General features: G+C 40.0%; 1 protein-coding gene across 9 annotated transcripts in view, besides 1 other annotated feature; it reads left to right on the top strand.

Moving 5' to 3' along the window:
- Positions 1 to 20,431, top strand: part of ARID4B (AT-rich interaction domain 4B) — a 161,278-nt gene that overhangs the window by 43,556 nt on the left and 97,291 nt on the right. The window lies entirely within an intron of this gene.
- Positions 12,579 to 13,167: an enhancer, noted in NCBI's record as "H3K27ac-H3K4me1 hESC enhancer chr1:235434772-235435360 (GRCh37/hg19 assembly coordinates)". NCBI's record gives its function as "activates a minimal SCP1, AML or CMV promoter by ChIP-STARR-seq in primed H9 embryonic stem cells {active_cell/tissue: H9 hESC(primed)}" and the evidence as "EXISTENCE:reporter gene assay evidence [ECO:0000049][PMID:30033119]".

The following is a 20,431-nucleotide window of genomic DNA, read 5'->3' as shown; positions in this document are numbered from 1 at the left end:
CTGGAACTCATGGGCCCAAGGGATCCTCTCACGTTAGCTTTCCAAGTAGCTGGGATTATAGCCATGAGCCACTGTGCCCAGCAATTTTTATTTGAAATACTAGGTCATAATCACATTATGGTTTTAAAGATCACTTGTAATAGAAAAAGCTAGTGAAGTATATGTAATTAAATTTCTCTGATCAATTCATCACATTGCATCATCAATTTTATAGGATACTTGGAGAGCAGATAATTTAGGCCTTGAAGAATTTTTTTTCCCCCAGAGACGGAGTCTCGCTCTGTCGCTGAGGCTGGAGTGCAGTGGCATAATCTTGGCTCACTGCAGCATCTGCCTCCCAGGTTCAAGCGATTCTTCTGCCTCAGCCTCCCGAATAGCTGAGATTACAGGTGCCTGCCACCACGTCCAGCTAATTTTTGTATGTTTAGTAGAGATGGGGTTTCACATGTTGGCCAGGCTGGTGTCGAACTCCGACCTTCAGTGATCTGCCTGTCTAGGCCTTCCAAAGTGGTGGGATTACAGGCGTGAGCCACTGTGCCGGCCTGGCCTTGAAGAATTAATGTTGATTTGTTTTAAATGTAGAATGAGGCTGGGCGTGGTGGTTCAGACCTGTAATCCTAACACTTTGGGAGGCCGAGGCAGGCGGATCACTTGAGGCCGGGAGTTTGAGACCAGTCTGGCCAACATATCGAAACCCCGTCTCTACTAAAATAAAAAAAAAATTAGCAGGGTGTGGTGGCGCATGTCTGTAATCCCAGCTACTCGGGAGGCTGAGGCATGAGAATCGCTTGAACTGGGAGGCGGAGGTTGCAGTGAGCCGCGATTGCACCATTGCACTCCAGCTGGAGCAAGACTGTCTTGGAGAGCGAGACTGTCTCAATAAATAAGTAAATAAAGGATTGGTTTCATTTTCTTTAGGGTCTAAGTTAACTTTTTCTTAAAAGTATCAGCAAGAAATCTTAAAATTGACTGTCTTAAGTAAATGTTAAATAATAGTACTTAATATTAATAATTTTATAATTTAATAATGAACATAAAGCATTTTATTTGATTTTAACATTTTCTGGTTATTAAAAAACTCATGGTAGAAAGTATGGAAAATCCAGAAAATCAGGTAGGAAAAAGATCACTCGTAATTCAGACGTTACAGAGGTAACTACTATTAACATTTTAGTATATACTTTCAAATCTTTACCTGTGTATTTCTTAAAACATAGTTTGTAATCATCTTTTTTCAACATTTTAAACATTAGCTTCTGAATTAGTAGGTAAGTTTATGTTGGTTACAGATAGGTTTTTTTAAGAGGGTGTTAAGTTGTTACTACCTGATAAGGCAGTTATGGTATGACATCTGGATTTAAGCTCTTTTTCCTGCCTCTAGTGAATTATGTCCTTAAAATCACTTAAAGCTCCACCTCTCTTTGCTCTTTTATACCAGTGGGTAATAATACTTTTTTATTTATCTACATAATTGTTTTTGTGATGAAAATGAATGTGTTTTAAAAGATACATAAAACTTCTTATTTTGTTATAAAATGAAGTAGTATCGGCCAGGTGCGGTGGCTCACGCCTGTAATCCCAGCACTTTGGGAGGCCAAGGCAGGTGGATCACAATAGGAGTCGAGACCATCCTGGCTAACACGGTGAAACCCCGTCTCTACTAAAAATACAAAAAATTAGCCAGGTGTGGTGGCAGGCGCCTGTAGTCCCAACTACTCGGGAGGCTGAGGCAGGAGAATGGCGTGAACCCGGTAGGCGGAGGTTGCAGTGAGCCGAGATCGTGCCACTGCACTCCAGCCTGGGTGACAGAGACTCCGTCTCAAAAAAATAAATAAATAAATAAATAAAATTAAATAGTATGTAATGTAAATATTTCCATGTCTGGTTAAATTTGGTTGTCTTTAAGTATTCCTGTTTTCTCTTTCTCTAATTTTTCTGAAAATTCAGGGTACAATAGGAGTTCTTAAACTTTTTTGGGTCTGTCGAAAGTACAGGCTTTATTGTGTAGATATATCATCTCTGAAAATTCTTGTAGGGTCTTCAGAAATCCACAGAAACAGTGTTATGGTTTCCAGGTTAAAATTTTCCATATTTATAATAGTTTTCACCCATTGTCCATGGCACCTTGGTTTACCTACTTGTGCTTCCAAAAGTTTGACACACTCATACAACTAATTTTCGCATTCACTAAATTTGCATTGACTGTTATCCCAAAGCCTACCAAAAAGAAGGTTGCTTTGCGTTGATTATATCCTGTGAAGTAGCCTTGAGCAGCAAATATTACTTTTTGTAAGTTAGAGACAGCGCTGAGGAATAAAATCAATGCATTTCTCAAGTAGATCTTGGGTTTCTGAGACCATGTAAAAACTTTGAATCCTGAGGATATAATTAAACAAAACTGTAAACAGTTTTCATAAGTATCACAGGGCTAAGGGATGAGCAAGTGATACTAGGTTAACCAGGACTCCCTGAAGACATTGTTAGATTATATGCTTTAGGAGTGATTGTGTTTTTGATGATTTTCAATTCCTTCAAATATGCCACTATATTCTAGTATTTCACTGTTTTTATTTCATAGCAGAGTCCCCTTCTGAATCATGGTGTATATTCATGATGTATGTTCCTAGGCTAGTATTTTACCCAAAATAGGAAAGTTTTAGAGATCATTTTGTATCTGAAAAGTATTCCCTTATTTATAATGTTGATATCTAATATAAGTAATGTGATAATTTCTTTTAATTTTTGTATTTCTGATTTTTTCAGCATTTCTTATTGGTCTTCTGAATTGTATAAAGAACAGGTTTTTAAAAATACATTCACCAGCCTCCCTAAGAATTGCATGAGAGTACCTCTTACCACTGTTAAATAAATAACTCCTGCTCCCTTTGTTTTTTGTTTTTGTTTTTGTTTTTCTGAGGCAGGCTGTTGGTCTGTCACTCAGGCTGGAGTGCAGAGGCATGATAACAACTCACTGCAGGCTTGATCTCCTGGGCTCAAATGATCCTTCTACCTCAGCCTCCACCACGAGTAGCTGGGGCCACAGGCATGGGCTACCACGCTCAGCTGTTTTTTTGAGACGGAATGTCGCTCTGTTGCCCAGGCTGGAGTGCAGTGGCATGATCTTGGCTCACTGCAACCTCTGCCTCTTGGGTTCAATCGATTCTTGTGCCTCAGCCTCCCGTGTAGCTGGGACTACAAGCATGCACCACCACGCCCAGCTGATTTTTGCATTTTTAGTAGAGACAGGGTTTCACCACGTTGGCCAGGCTAGTCTTGAACTCCTTACCTCAGGTGAGCCACCCGCCTCAGCCTCCCAAAGTGCTGAGATTACAGGTATGAGCCACTGTGCCCGGCCTTTATTTTTGTTTTTAACAGAGGCAGTTTCCCTATGTTGCCCAGGCTGGTTTTGAACTGGGCTCAAGTGATCCACCCGCCTTGGCCTCCCAAAGTGCTGAGATTATAGGCTGAGCCATCGCACCCAACCCTCCTGCTCACTTTAAAGCATGCTGTATAGAGTTGTCCTGGTGAGAAGCCACCTTGATGGCAAGCTTGTAAGCTGTAGAGTTGGTGAGTGTTTACTTAGGACTCACATTTGAAACCGCTTTTTTTTTTCTGTTATCTTTTAATATGTAAAATAATAATCAGAAGTTACTCAGGACTCTTTTTTTTTCGTTTTTATACATATGATTTAATTTTTGAACTGAGAATTAGCGCTCACCCAATATTAAGAATTTCTTTCAAAAAACGTGCTCGGGTCAACACAAGGCCTCTCTGTACATTATCCTTCCGAAACCATGGTTTCTTTGCTTGCACCTTTATCCCCACTGCCTTGCCAGTCCTTCCCGCCAGCAGGACTGGAAGCCTGGCGACTCCCTAGGTCACAGGGTTTTCCTTGCCATAACCAAGTGGGCTCTGCGCGTGGCTGATGGCAGCCCCACCCTGCGCCCCTGCTGTTAGGCACCGAGCAAGGAGGGGCCCCTGGCTGTTCTTCGCCTGGGCACTGGTGTGCTTTCGGCGATCCTGGCCACCTGCCCACCTGAAGCTGCCATCTTGGGTTCTGGCAGGAGCCGTTTGCGTGGCGAGGAGCGGAGAGGCAGGAACCCAGTGAGCTGCTCAGGACCTGAGTTGTGGGAGATCATGACTATTTCTTTGCGATGCTTCCCCAATATTCTTTAAGTCAATTTTGTTTGTCAAATAGCCTGATTTTAGTGATCGTCTCTTGTTAGAGCCTGCCCAGTATGTATTCCACCTTGTTTGTTAACAACATACCAATTTCCCTTGGATTGTCAGTGAAGGTGTCCTGTTCTTTACTGTACAAGAACTAAGCATGTGATTCAAATAAGGTTACTGGATATGTTAAAAAGAATAAGACAATGGAAATAAAATAATATTAAAATGTTTTATTTTATTAATGGGTGGAGTAAGAGTAATACAAATGTTTTAGACTTGAAGTTACTGTCAGTGTTTTTATCATTATATGACTGTCAAAGAGCTCATAATAGAATTAAGAGAATGTGTTGGATATTTCCAGCACCAGTGTTAGATTTGGTAATTCACAAGGTGCGCTCACAGGACTCAGTGTATTGTATTAGTCATGTTTACGGCTGCGATTTATTACAAGAGGATAGGAAGCATTATCAGCAAAAGGAAAAGATACATTGGGTAAAGTCTGGAGGAAACCAGGTGCAAATTTCTCCCGGTAGAGTTACACAAGACACACATAATTCCCCTAACCAAGAATTGTGACAACATGAAATGTTACAACCCGGGAAGCTCCTTAAAACTCAGCATCCAGGGTTTTTAGTGGGAGCTGTTCACATAGGTACTGCATGTCTGGCATATATCAAATTCTAGACTCTGATAATGAAAGCTTAAGCCATATTGTTTTAGACACAACCACCCACTCTTACCAGTTGGTGGTAGGAACCCTCCCTAAATCCAGGTTCCTGTGAGTTCTTAGCCAAGGGCCAGCTTTGCAAGCAGCCCTTTCTAAGGAAAGCCATCTCAGGTCTGCTGTTAACTTTTTTCTGCATAGAAGATTAGCTTTTTATTTACTAATTCTTTAGTTGTTTGCGTTGATTATTTTATCTCAATTGCTGATTTCTTTGCTAGAGTCCTCTCAATTTTTAAATAATGTATTATTTTAAATTGGTCTGCCTTTATGGCCGTATTTTATTTTGTGTGTATGTTACATTGTTTTCATTATCACTATCCTGATATCTTTCAGGTCTTTAATGACTTCTGAAATTTCCAAAATGGCTTTCAGATTTTGATTCCTACCAGAATACCTCATACTACGTGGTTCAGGAAACTAAATGGAGATTCTGTTAGTTTCTGAGCATATCTATTACAAATATCTACTTAAGACCTAGAGGAATAACCTCTGGGTCAGTGTTTCTCAGTCTTGCCGGGGGTGGGGGGTGCATCAGAGTGTCCTGGAGGGCTTGTTAAGACACAAAATGCTGTTTCCCTCCCGGAGAGTTTCTAATTCGGAATGTCTGGAGCGGTGCCTGGGAATTTGCATTTCTAACAAATTTCCAGGTGTTGGCTTGGCGCTGTATGCACTTTGCTGTAATCCCAGCACTTTGGGAGGCTGAGGTGGGTGGACCACTTCAGCCTGGGAGGTGGAGGCTGCAGTGAGTTAGGATTTCCAGCCTGGGTGACAGAGTGAGTGAGACCCTGTCTCAAAAAAACAAATTTTCAGATGTTGCTGATGGTGTTGGTCCTGGGAGCATACTTTGGGAACCACTTTTCTAGTTTATAATACAATCCACAAACTTATGTAAACAAGAAAAATGTAATCTGTAAAATTCCCATGTACAGGAATACCAAATACAGTGTGCCAAAAGTGGTAGGACAATTGAAGACTTCATTGTCAACCCTGCTGTGTTGTGCAGCTGCCACTTTTCCCTCAGAATGTGTGTGTTCACAAGGTGTGTTGCTTTTGTAGATCAACATAAGAAATACTTACTAGTAAAGTTTATTTCTTATCTGTTTTTAAGATAAGTAAATTAACAGTTCACTATTTTTTGTGTGTGCTCAGTTAATCTTCCTCATATCACCTGGAATTTATCATCTCCCTTGGGTAATCACAGTCTAGTAGATTCTCTCTTCACCATTTTCTTAGGGAAAATGGATTGGCAAGGGAAATGCTAGACTATTTTAAGGGATTTATTGGCTTTTCTGTCCCACTGGGAATGCTTATAGGAGGGGATGCCATGAAATGTTTTTCATGATCTCAGTGGGGATCAGAAAATTCCAGCAGAACGGAGGCTAGGTGGGCATGGTTAACACATTTAGGTAGGAGGGCATGTTTGATAATGAAATTCTGAAAATGTTTGCATGTGCATTGAGATCCCTAGGTAGATAAGTAACCTAGTAACTTATTTGATTGGTATAGTTTTTTAAAACTCCAGGTCTGATGATAATCTAATATAAACTATTCTATTGAATGCTTTGAAATTGAGTCTGTTTAGTTCTGAGAGGCCATTGAAAGAAGGCAAGACCGAGTATCCTGGAAGGCCTGTTACATACCCCTGTATGTAGCATGGCCCTTTCTACTTGCCTTTGCTAATGATACTTTGTGTGTGTACATTTACTTAAATAGCTGTGCAGTGGGATAGGGGAATAATACTCAGGTTTTAAAATCTGATTTTGGCTCTGACTTAACCATTAATTACTGGTGACTCAAAAGAATACCACTGTGACCTACCAGTAAGAGTAGGTGCATATGGAGAGTCAGGAAATAGCATTTTGATAGAGTTTTGACTTAAATATGTTTCCTTACACTCATCTTGAAATTGTTTCTTATGGTCCTAAGTGAATAGTTGGAATAGATATCCTCAGCAACTAATAGAATCTCCATTTAGTGTGAGGTAGTATGGAAGGAATGGCCAAGAAAAGCCATTTAGTGCCACCATTAAAATCCTGAAAGATGCTGGGCAAGGTCATCAGGAGAAAAATGTAAAACAAAACCAATGAAACACACACACACACACACACACACACACACACACACACACACACACAATATAAGGCATTAAAAATGGTCTCATTTACATTATTATTATTATTTTTTTTTTTTTTTGAGACGGAGTCTCGCTGTCGCCCAGGCTGGAGTGCAGTGGCGGGATCTCGGCTCACTGCAAGCTCCGCCTCCCGGGTTCACGCCATTCTCCTGCCTCAGCCTCCCGAGTAGCTGGGATTACAGGCGTGCGCCACCATGCCAGGCTAATTTTGTATTTTTAGTAGAGACCGGGTTTCACTATGTTGGTCAGGCTGGTCTTGAACTTCTGACCTCAGGTGATCTACCCTTCTCAGCCTCCCATAGTGCTGGGATTACACTGCACCCAGCCTCTAAAATCTTTTTTAAATTTTAGAGAGAGAGTCTCTCTCTGCCACCCAAACTGAAGTGCAGTGGCACGATCATGTCTTGTTGCACCTTTGGCCTCCTGAGCTCAAGTGATCTTCTCACCTCAGCCCCCTGAATGGTTGGGACCATAGGCGTGTGCCACTGAGCCCAGATAATTTTTTTATTTTTTATAGAGCCATGTCTTCCTTTGTTGCTCAGGGTTTTTCTTGGCAAAAGCATATTGCCAGAACATATCTTTTTTTTTTTTTTTTCGGAGATGGTGTTTTGCTCCATCACCTAGGCTTGATTGCAGTGCACAATCTCGACTCACTGCAATCTCCACCTCCCGGGTTCAAGCGATTCTCCTGCCTCAGCCTCCCGAGTAGCTGGGATTACAGGCACCCGCTACCACTCCCAGCTAATTTTTTGTATTTTTAGTAGAGATGAGGTTTCACCATGTTGGCCAGGCTGGTCTCAAACTCCTGACTTCAGGTGATCCCCCCTGCTTCGGCCTCCCAAAGTGCTGGGATTATAGGCATGAGCCACCGCGCCTGGCCAACATCTCTTTTTTAAGAGAAATAACTTGTAATTTCTTTCTTTCCTTTTTTAAAGAGACAGGGTCTTGCTGTGTCTCCCAGACTGGAGTGCAGTGGTGTGATCATAGCTCAATACAGCCTTGAACTTCTGGGCTCAAGCAATCCTACTGCCTCAGCCTCACAAGTAGCTAGGACTACAGATGTGCACCACCATGACAATTAGTATTCTTGCTTTATTTTTTCTTTTTATTTGATAAGAAGTTTATAACTTTGAAAAATATGAGTAGAAATGTAAGAGTCTGTTGAAGATGTAAACTATTGTTTTTTAAAAAGTGTAAATATATTTTTAATAAGATTGTAGGGCCAGACGCATCTGGTAAGGGCTTAAAAGCTGATTTTTAAAAATTGATAGCCAGAGGTTATATCTTACTAATGTTTGCTAATGCTACTAATTAGCGTTAGTTTGCTAATGCTACTAATGTTATAATAATGATCTGATGACCTCAAATAGCTTTTCAAAAAAAAAATCTTTTTTTTTTTTTTTTTGCTTCGTATGTTCACATTTCATTATTTCTTACTGGTCAAGATTTTTTTTCTTTTTTTGAAAGTCTCTGTCTGTCACCTAGGCTGGAGTGCAATGGTGTGATCACAGCTTGCTGCAGCCTCTACTCCCCAGGCTCAAGTGATCCTTCTGCCTCAGCCCCCTCACTAGCTAGGAGCCACAGGTGTGTGCTACCACGCCTGGCTAAGTTTTTGATATTTTGTAGAGATGAGGTTTTGCCGTGTTGTCCCGGCTGGTCTTGAACTCCTGGGCTCAAGCAGTCCTCCCACCTTGGCCTTCCAGCGTGTTGGGATTACAGGCGTGAGCCACTGTGCCCAGCCCAGGATTTTTGTATATTTTGACAGTTTAGCTTAAAAATGTAAACTGGAATTGGTTTAATATTTGTCTAGATGTGATCTAAGTTCTGAATATCCCAGGGCATTGTGGGTGCTCAATTAATGTTTGTGGAATTGTAACTGTATTTGATATTATTTCTATTTTGATAATAGGCATCTGATGGGTTTAATTAAAGCTATTTTGGTTATGGGTAATAGAACCCATTTCAGGTGATGAAAAGCAGAAAAGAGAATCTATTATAAGGGTACAGAGCATCTCATGGTACCCAAAGAGGGGAACTCCAGTTTGGCTTGAGGAGGCAGTTGGAAAGCTAGCAGGAACTAAGGCTAGCTATTCTCTCAGTCACTCAGAGAACCCACAGTTTCTTATGTGCACTTTTTCCCCCTCTGCATCTGTTTTATTTCTTACTTCCTCTCAGCAGACTGGTTTTCTCTACTTCTCCCTGTGCATGCCAGAAAATGGCTACCATAGGCTGCATCACATCCTTTCTCTACCGGCTAATTGGTTAACCTAGCTTTAACTTCATAGCAGAGTAAAACCGATCGGCCCAGTTTGGATCAGGTGGCTAGCAGTCTAATGAATTACTTGTTGGCAAAGCATATTGCCAGAACATATCTCTTTGTTAAGAGAAATAACTTGTAATTGATACTTGTCATGTTAGTGACTTAGTCTTTGTAAAGCTGTGTGGGCTTCTTTGTCGTAAAAATTTGGTCATCTGTAAGATAGTTTGTCCTTATTTTACTTATTAAAATATGATTTGTTGGGTCCCTCATATGTGCATAGTCATTGAATAGGCAGAGCGGTCTGCGCGCGTGCACACACACACACACACACACACACACACAAAATTAGGCCTAGTGTTGGATTTTCCTACTCTTACCATTGTGCCTGTTTTTAGTATGCATTTGATTTAGCACATGATAATCATAATTCAAAGATAAGTCTGCAGCAGACTTAACATTTATATATAGAGTGTTTTTAAGGCAGAAGGTATTATTTACCCTCTTTTTAGAAGTGGAGAAACTGAGAATCAGGGAGTAAAAATCAGTCAACTAATAGGTTGCAGATCGTAGCCATAGCTGAGTTGAGATATTCTTTACACAAATTATGGCCTTATTCTTCTATATCCTTTTACCTCTATGTGAGTGTATATCAAACTGGACTTCTCCGAAATTCTCTTTGGCCTAGTTTGCAAGTTCTCTGTGTAGAATAAAAAATTACATTTTTAATTGATTATTTTTATCAAGTAATACATGCAAATGACACTAAATTCAAAAGGTATATACTTTATTATTGTTTTATCTTGAGTTTCTTCCATTTCATTTCATACAGAGAGCTAAAAAGATTTAATATAAACATTTTCTGGGTCATTTGTACATCTGGATAGCAGAGAACTATTAGGTTGGTGCAAAAGTAATTGTGGTTTTGCAATTACTTTTATTTTTATTTATTTATTTATTATTTTTGAGTCGGAGTCTCACTGTCACCCAGGCTGGAGTGCAGTGGTGTAATCTCAGCTCACTGCAACCTCCACCTCCCGGGCTCAAGTGATTCTCTCTGCCTCAACCTCCCAAGTAGCCTCCCAAGCCACCACCACGCCCAGCTAATTTTTTTTTTTTGTATTTTAGTAGCTTTTTTGTATTTCACCATGTTGCCCAGAGTGGTCTTGAACTCTTGAGCTCAGGTGATCCACCTGCCTTGGCCTCCCAAAGTGCTGGGATTACAGGTGTGAGCCACTGTGCCTGGCATGCAATTACTTTTAATGGCAAAGACCACAATTAGTTTTGCACCAAACTAGTATAATTTCAGTTTCTGCAATTACTTTTTATGTTTTACAACCAGCGTTCATAGTGAGTAGTATTACTTCGCTTGTTGCAGGTTTGATTATAAAACAACGGAGATGGAGTTCACAGTAAGTGATATGTTCCTACATCATGAGGCAACATTGATCTCTCCAGCAAAGGTTTTGTACTAGTTTACATAGGGAAAAGTGGTGGGAGAATTGATTCGTTACACTGTGCTCAATATTAAAAGCATGCTAGTCCAAAGTAGTCTGTGCCATATTTGTGTTTTGAGTGTGTAGTTGTAGCAGAATATCATCCATCATATTGAATTAATGTTCTTACTTGAATTTCATTGATTTTGTTGGTTTGTGGAATTTAGTTTGCAGATTTGGTTTTATACTTGTACAGTTCCGTAAGAATAAATAATTCTTAGCTACTATATGACTACATTTTATCAGGTACAAGTATACATTTTCTACATTTTAACATCTCTGAAATCAGGATGCATTTAGCAGTCAATTGATGGTATATCGTAGTTTAATTGGCAGCTTTTTTCTTTTTTAGTGGTAGGTGTGGTTTACAATTAGTGACTTAAATTAGATGAAATATGGTAACTTTATGTTTGTATGAATTTCAGTAACATAAAAATAAACCATCATCTCTGTAAAGGAGAGATAATTTACTTTTTTTAAGTTTAAGAACAGCTGTGTAGGCTGAGTGCGGTGGCTCATGCTTGTAGTCCTAGCACTTTGGGAGGCCAAGGCTGGCGGATCATCTGAGGTCAGGAGTTCGAGACCAGCCTGGCCAACATGGTGAAAACTCGTCTCTATAAAAATACACACACATGAAATTAGCTGGGTGGGGTGGTGCACGCCTGTAGTCCCAGCTACTTGGAAGGCTGAGGCAGGAGAATCACTTGAACCTGGGAGGCAGAGGTTGCAGTGAGCCAAGATTGCGCCACTGCACTCTAGCCTGTAAATATAACTGCCAGGAACTTGAGATTTCAGAAAACATTTCTCCAGAGTATCTGGAAAATCACCTGGCTTACCCAAACAAAATTGCCACTTGTGGATATTTGCTACCAATGCCCCTATCATTCTTCTCTGTAGTCCTGTACTCATAAGCTTAGCTGCTTAGCTGCTCATACCTATTCTTGAACTGCTTCTGTCACTAATTTCTACGTGATCTGATTGTTAAGTACAAAATCTTCTTTAAAAAGAATGGTAATAATAAATTAATATAGACATTTATTTATATTGAGTGCTTATTACATGTGATTTTATGTGTAATAGGCCACATTGGTATTGTATGTATTTAATATGTAATTTATATTTAATTATAATATGTAATAAATGTATAATATAAAAGTGAACATATGTTTTATTAGTATGATAAACTACACTTTACAAATGTGAAGCTATGCTCAGATAAGTTAAATAATTTTTCCCAAGGATGATGGATCTAGTAAGTTATGAACCTAAAGTTTGATCTCAGATATTGATTCCATAGCTCATGCTTTTTCACCTGTTTATATAAGACGCTTCTGATTATAAGGTATTTTTGAAATATAAATAATATTCAACTTAAGAGGAATCTCATTTAGCAGGGCTTAACTAATGTCTAATCTTTTTTGTGTTAACAATTATCTCATGAATTTCTTCTATATGTAGGTGCTATTCTAGGACCAGGGCATTCATAGGTGAATAAGACACTATTTCTATCTTAAGTAGCTCAGTCTAGAGGACAGATAGGAATCATTAAAATATGGTATAAAATGGTCACTTTTGCAAAATGTTGGTATATTTGGGAAAAGGAAAGTCAGTATATAGTGTTACATCAATGAGTATTTAGCATAAGTTACCAAAGGGCTTACTACAGTAATATTCTGAATCTAGAATGAATTTTGTGACTTAGTGTTTAATACATGTTGTGTGGGTCCGTTTCTTTTGGTCACTAGACAAGTAATTGATAGGTTTTCAAGTGATTAAAGATTGATGTTTCTTGTTGATGACGTCTTTCAAAATCATATTCTTGAGGATATGAAACACGATTAAAAACTTGGTTGGTGGGGATTATTATTATTATTTATTATTATTATTACTTTTTGAGATGGAGTCTCGCTCTGTTGCCCAGGTTGGAGTGCAGTGGCGTGATCTCGGCTCACTGCAACCTCCACCTCCTGGGTTTAAGTGATTCTCGTGACTCAACCCGTGAGTAGCTGGCATTACAGGTGCCTGCCACCATGGCCAGCTAATTTTTTTTATTTTTATTAGAGACAGGGTTTCACTATGTTGGTCAGGCTGGTCTCAAACTCCTTACCTCAGGTGATCTGCCCACCTTGGCCTCCCAAAGTGTTGGGATTACAGGTGTGAGCCACCGTGCCTGGCTGGATTATTATTATTATTTATTTTATTTTATTTTTTTGAAACAGAGTTTCACTTTTGTTGCCCAGGCTGGAGTGCAGTGGTGCAAACTCGGCTCACTGCAATCTCCGCCTCCCGAGTCCAAGTGATACTCCTGCCTCAGCCTCCCAAGTAGCTGGGATTACAGGTGCCTACCACCATGCCTGGCTAATTTTTGTATTTTTAGTAGAGACTGGGTTTCACCATGTTGGCCAGGCTGGACTCGAACTCCTGACTGCAGATGATCCGCCTGTCTCAGCCTCCCAAAGTGTTGTGATTACAGGTGTGAGCCATGGCATCCGACCTATCATTTTTTTAGCTTGGTCATCCAGGCTGGAGTGCAGTGATATAGTCACTGCGGCCACAACCTCCTGGGCTCAAGCAGTTCTCCCACCTCAGCCTCCTTAGTAGCTGGGACCATAAGTGTTCACCACCTCTTCTGGCTTATTTTTCAAAATTATTTGTAGAGATGAAGTCTCGCTATGTTGCCCAGGCTCGTCTCAAACTCCTGGGCTCAAGTGATCCTCCTGCCTTGGTCTCCCGAAGTGCTGGGATTACAGGACTGGCCCAGTAGGGATTTTAAGGATTTTTTTTTTTAAATCAAACTCTTTTAAATGTTCTCCAGATGCTGTCTTTAGTGACTTGTTATACTAAAAAATGTTCTACTTATTGCCTTCTAATCCATGCCAGTAGTTATTACTAACATGCCCAGATACATTAAACCATAACAATGCCAGTTTCTGTTTCTGTTTGTATTCTGAATTTTGAACTGCCTGAATCCTCCACTAGGCTCCTCTAATTTCCAGATCATGAAAGTTTATGTTCTGAGAGTGCTGTTACTCCAAAGAAGATTCATTTGCATTTGAATATGATTGTGACCTCACTAGCAAGATGACAAATAACCTCTTCTCAAGGCAGAGTAGATTGGCTGTGTTACATGAGAAAGCTCCTTTGCTTTTTTGATACTTAGAACAGTGCCTTAAGTATAGTTGGCTTTTAATAATGTCTCTCCCAATTTCTCTCTTGCCTGTTTGCCGAGGCAGAAAATTCTAGTTAGAATATTTCTTTGGAGTTACTTAAATTTCCAGGAATATGCAGATACTCTTCTGTTAATATTTGTGACTATGCAGATATCCCTCTGGTTTATGAGATGTGGATCTAAAATTTACTTATAACCTAAAGTAGCTTAGGTTTTGTCTCCTAAAGTAGCTTAAATTTTAAGAAGATACACAGTGGGGCCATGTAAAAAACCAAAAATAAACTTTAAAAAATTGTAAGAAGAATATTAAGAAATATAGATAACATCCAAAGATTTTCGTGTTTTGGGAAGGGGTTGAGTTTTTTTGTTTTGTTTTGTTTTTTGTTTTTTTGAGACGGAGTCTCTCTCTGTCGCCCGGGCTGGAGTCCAGTGGCATGATCTCGGCTCACTGCAAGCACCACCTCCTGGGTTCACACCATTCTCCTGCCTCAGCCTCCTGAGTGGCTGGGACTACAGGCGCCTGTCATGACGCCCGGCTAATTTTTTGTATGTTTAGTAGAGACGGGGTTTCACCGTGTTAGCCAAGATGGTCTCGATCTCCTGACCTTGTGATCTGTCCGCCTCGGCCTCCCAAAATGCTTGGATTACAGGCGTGAGGCACCGCGCCCGGCTGGCGTTGAGTTTTAAAATATGCAGTAACTCTTACAATCCAGCAAAAAAAACAGACAAACAAAAAACAAAAACAAAAATGAGCAATTCAGAAAGATGGGTAAATAATATAAATAGATAATTAATAGAAAAATATGCAAATGCCCAATAAATATATATTACTTTACAAAATAATTTATTTTCAAATAATTCCAAATTTGCTGTATAAATAGTTCATGTAATCTCCTTCACCAGACTGGCCAGTTGTTAACATTCGATGTCATTTGCTCTATATCTAATTTATCTTTTTCTCTGTGTGTGTGTATACACAGAGAGAGATATATACACAGATTTGTATGTGTGTGTATATATATGTGTGTATATATACACATATATATTGTATACATATATGTGTACATATGTATGTACTCATTATCATTACGTTCAAACTTTTTAAGAGCAAGCTTAAAACACAATGTTCTGTCACCCATTGTACTCCAGTGTGTAATTCCTGATAAATAGAACAGAATAACTTCAACTTCGGTCTGTCTACTTTTTCTCATTTCCAGTTACTCTTGGCAGATATACCACAGAAAGTTGCTCTTTTGATATTACAGTGCAAAACGTTGCACAATTACACCACTAAAAATAATTCAGTAGTATTCAAAGATGATGTGAATATTCTGTTCATCAAACCACCTGTCAGCTTAGCATCTTTTGATAGCTCTCTGAATCAGCCACCTTTATGATGGTTGCCAAACGCTGATTCTCTGTCAGTTCTGTTACAGTTATTAACATTTTAGTATAAGGAAAAGCTTTATCTTTTCTACATTTTAAAACATTCATTCATTCATTCTTGTCAATATGGACTCACGGATTTCATTTTTACTGAATGCATTGTAATTTGTTACCAACTTTTTAAAGTGAGATATAATTAATTTACTGTGGAATACACAGATCTTAAGTTGATCAGTTTGACATACATATATATCCCTAAGGAGATAATAGCACAAATAATATTTATTTTAATGCTCAAACTTTCCCCCATTTGACCAGTAAGAGGAAAACCCCTTCAAGATGCTTCCTGTGTCTGTTTGAAATGTCCCTATCATTAATCGCACCATTTCTTTACTTTCTGACACAAGATGTTTCAGATTCTTCTTGTGCTTTTCTCTGTCCAACCTTGAAATCAACCATTTTTCTAAGGATCCTAATTCCTTATAATGGAGAGAGTTATTTAGAAATCAAGACGTGGGCCGAGGCGGGTGGATCACGAAGTCGGGAGTTTGAGACCAGCCTGACCAACATGGTGAAATCCCGTCTCTACTAATTAGCTGGACATGGTGGCGAGCGCCTGTAATCCCAGCTACTTGGGAGGCTGGGGCAGGAGAATTGCTTGAACCTGGGAGGCAGAGGTTACAGTGAGCCGATATCACACCATTGCACTCCAGCCTGGGCAACAGAGCAAGACTCCATCTCAATTAAAAATAAATAAATAAATCAAGATGTAGGCTATTGCTGTTTGTTGTTGTTGTTACTGGGCTGTCTTTTGGTTGCTCTTAGTACTTTCTTTTTGGACAGAGCTAGGAAAATATAGGGACACACACGCACACCTAGAAGTACTTGTTTATTTTTCTGTGTGTGTGTGTGTGTGTATGTATATATACACATATATATATATTATACAATCATGAATTCAAACCAAATTTCCAATTCCAGTCCAATATTTAGACTTCTCTGTAGTCTGCTCCCTTCCTTCCATTTTAACTTCTTTGGAGTGAAAAACATGGCCCCCACTATATTCAGTGTATTTACTTATTTGATTAGTCCATTTACTTATTTGGTCCGGGTAATGGATCTTCCAGCCTTGCAGCTTATCTCCTCTGTCCCTATTCAGCTCTCATCCATGTCCTCCGCCACAGGACTGCACCTCCATGTGGTTCCCCCAGGCCTCCTCTTCACTGCCTTGTATATTCAGCTTCTGTCCTTGTGCCTATTCAACCCTTACCCCTTCACAAATCCATGTCCTTAGTGCCACATGAAAAAGGAGAGAAGAAATGGCCCCAGAGAATATTTTGAAGTTATATTGCATGGTTTTCTTTTCTTTTCTTTTCTTTTTTTTTTTGAGACGTAGTCTCACGTCACTCAGGTTGGAGTGCAGTGACTCGATCTCGGCTCACTGCAAGCTCCGCCTCCCAGGTTCATGCCATTCTCCTGCCTCAGCCTCCCGAGTAGCTGGGCCTACAGGTGCCCACCACCATGCCCGGCTACTTTTTTGTATTTTTAGTAGAGACGGGGTTTCACCTTGTTAGCCTACAGGCACCCGCCACCACACCCGGCTAATTTTTTATATTTTTAGTAGAGACGGGGTTTCACCGGGTTAGCCAGGATGGTCTCCATCTCCTGACCTCGTGATCCACCCGCCTCGGCCTCCCAGAGTGCTGGGATTACAGGCGTGAGCCACCACACCTGGCCATGGTTTTCTTCATTTCCTCGATGTATTCATTTTTTTTATATTCCCTCCCACCAAATTGTGCATTTTAAGCTTGGTTTTTAAATGGTACACTGTTTGGTATATAAATGCAAGTATATTTTGTTCATTCATCTTTTGGAATTATCTCCATTATTTTAATAGTTCATTGGGATTGCTATATATAAAATAGGCTGTTTTCATAGATTTATTGTCACGTGGTTTGTGTTTAAGTACATTTATTAATGATGGTTTTTTGTTTTGTTTTGTTTTGTTTTTTGACAGAGCCTTGCTCTGTCAACCCGGCTGGAGTGCCGTGTTGCAGTCATGGCTCACTGCAGCCTCCATTTCCTGAGCTCTAGCGATCCTCCCGCCTCAGCCTCCTTAGTAGTTGGGACCATACGTGCATGCCACTATGCCTGGCTAATTTTTGTATTTCTGGTAGAGACGGGGTTTCACCCTGTTACCCAAGCTGGTCTTGAACTCCTGAGCTCAAACAATCTACACACCTCGGGCTCCCAAAGTGCTGGGATTGTAGGTGTGAGCCATTGCACCCAGCCTACTGATGGTTTTTATGATCAAATTTAATACTCTTGTTTTCTGATTCTTCTGGCTACATTGGCACTGTAACCAATTTGAATCCCTCACTTTTTAAAATAAACTACCTCAATAAAATGTCATCTAGCATGTTTTGCTTTTTAAAAACCATCTCGAATAATTGAGTATTTCCTAGTCAGTGTCTGTGTTAGCCAGCCATTTGAAGATTTGATTTAACTATTGTCTTTCTAAAACTTAATTTATGTATTTGATGTGCTGCAGCCCAGAGACACATTAGAGATTACTGTTGATTCATTTGTGCACTTCTGTGCTTCCTTGGCATTTTGGCATCTTGAAGGATTATTATCCACTAATAGCTAATTTTAAAATTGCTTATGCTTTTTAGTGTTCCCATGGAATTCAGTGTTTTTTAGGTGCCACTTAGGACATTTCGTAGACTGGCTAGGAAAATAATTATTTAAGCAATGCTGGAAAACTGTGAGGTAGCTGTTGCCTTGACAACCAGAAAACTGTTCTGTTTGCTCAACAAAGGGATGGTAATTTAGTAGTTTAATTTCCTTTTTGGCATGGAGGTGCTACATAAAAACATCTTATTTTAGCCTCTGAGATGATCCATACTACTGATCAGAATTAGAGAAGCAGAGCAAAAAGAAAAGGCAAGAGTTTTTTTTTCTGGCTACGTATAGATAGACATGCATATTTATCAGGGTTGGTGTTGGTCAAAAGAATCTTAGTTAACCTGCTGACATAATCTTTTTTATGTCTCTAAATTGGACCAAAGTAAATTAACCTCAAAATACTGGTGCAATCTTGGTACACTAAGGGGTCGTGATACACTTTTATTATGGAGCATCCCCACAAAGATTTAAGATTCTCTTGCCGCTGGAATTCAACATGATTACTTCATGTCTGGATTGAATAAGGGAGAAAATATTTTAAAGGAACCCCTCTTCCCCACGTATATACACAATTACATTGGCATCTGCTCTATTTATGTGGGAATTTTTTTTATGACTTAACCCATTTGTATATAGACTTAAACATTTTTTTTTAAAAAACAATTGCCTCCCAGGTTGTAAAGTAAAAATAATAGCCTTTATTTGGCAATGTGTGCTGGGCCCTCTTCTAAGCATTTTGTGTGCACCGTCTTACTCCTCATCCTTGTGACAGAACTGTTATTGTATGCTGAGGCACTTAGCTAAGTGGCTTAGCCCAAGGTCACCTCACTACTAAGGGATAGATTTGAAGCTAGGCATCTAGTTTAGGAACATATACCCTTTTTTTTCTTTTCTTTTTTTTTTGAGACAAGGTCTCAGTGTCGCCCAGGTTAGAGTGCGGTGGCGCGATCTCTGCTCACTGCAACCTCAGTCTCTCAGGCTGAAGTGGTCCTCCCACCTTAGCCTCCCTCATAGCCAGGACTACAAGCAGGTGCCACCATGCTTGGCTAATTTTTGTATTTTTAGTAGAAACAGGGTTTTGCCATGTTGCCCAGTCTGGTTTTGAACTCCTGGGCTCAAGCAGTCCGCCCACTTAGGCTTCCTAAAGTGCTGGGATTACAGGTGTGAGCCACTGTGCTTGGCTTGGGAACCTATACTCTTAATTACTGTATTATACTGACTTTTTTTTTTTTTTGAAATGGAGTCTCACAGTGTCGCCTGGGCTGGAGTGCAATGGCACAATCTTGACTCACTGCAACCTCTACCTCCCAGGTTCAAGTGATTCTCCTGCTTTAGCCTCCCGAGTAGCTGGGATTACAGGCGCCCGCCACCACACCTGGCTAATGTTTTGTATTTTTAGTAGAGAGGGGGTTTTCACCATGTTGGCCAGGCTGGTCTCGAATGCCTGACCTCGTGATCCACCTGCCTCAGCCTCCCAAAGTGCTGGGATTATTATAGGCATGAGCCACCGTGCCCAGCCGAAAACTTTTTTTTTTTTTTGAGACGAAGTTTCACTCTTGTTGCCCAGGCTGGAGTGCAACGGCATGATCTCGGCTCACTGCAACCTCCGCCTCCTGAGATCAAGCGATTCTTCTGCCTCAGCCTCCCGTGTAGCTGGGATTACAGGCGCCCGCCACCATGCCTGGCTAATTTTTTATATTTTAAGTAGAGATGGGGTTTCACCATGTTGACCAGGCTTGTCTCGAACTCCTGACCTTCAGGTAATCCACCCGCCTTGGCCTCCCAAAGTGCTGGGATTACAGGCATGAGCCACCTTGCCCAGCCAAAATGTGGTTTTGCCCCTCGAATATTAAGAAGAAATAAGGAAGGGAACCAAATCTGAATTACTATTGATAAAATGACTTGTTTGTCCACATCAAGTGTTTCATAATATTAATTATAACTTCCTAGCTGACTACCTCAGACATCACAATGGAGTGCTTTCTAATATTGACTCTGTTTTTTTGATGTGGCAGCTGAAGCTTAGAGAGGTGAGAGGTTCAGTAGCCTACAAAAACTCATCTAGTTGGTGTAAGGAGTAGAGCTTGGATTAGGACCTTGCCTCTCTGCTTTCAAAGCCTGTGCTATTAATCAGTCTGCTCTATTACCTCATGTTAAAGTAATGATAGAGTGATACCTTATGCCCAGCTAAAATTACATACTCAAATCTGACCACCTCAGTTATGGATTTGATTTGGGTTTCTGTGTAAAGTCTCATTCATATTTTGGTTGGCATTGAAAAATAGTTTGACAGTTTCATTCTAGATGATTATATATGTCTCAAAACTTGCCGTTCTGACCACCTTTGTAATGCCAGTGCTTTGATATAGGCTTGCTAAACAATTATGTGTAAGATTCAAATTATTGT

The sequence above is a fragment of the Homo sapiens genome, chromosome 1 (genome assembly GCF_000001405.40).
Source record: "Homo sapiens chromosome 1, GRCh38.p14 Primary Assembly".
Lineage (NCBI taxonomy): Eukaryota > Metazoa > Chordata > Mammalia > Primates > Hominidae > Homo > Homo sapiens.
Note: the sequence above shows the minus strand (reverse complement) of the source record. Positions and strands in the feature narration are given on the sequence as shown.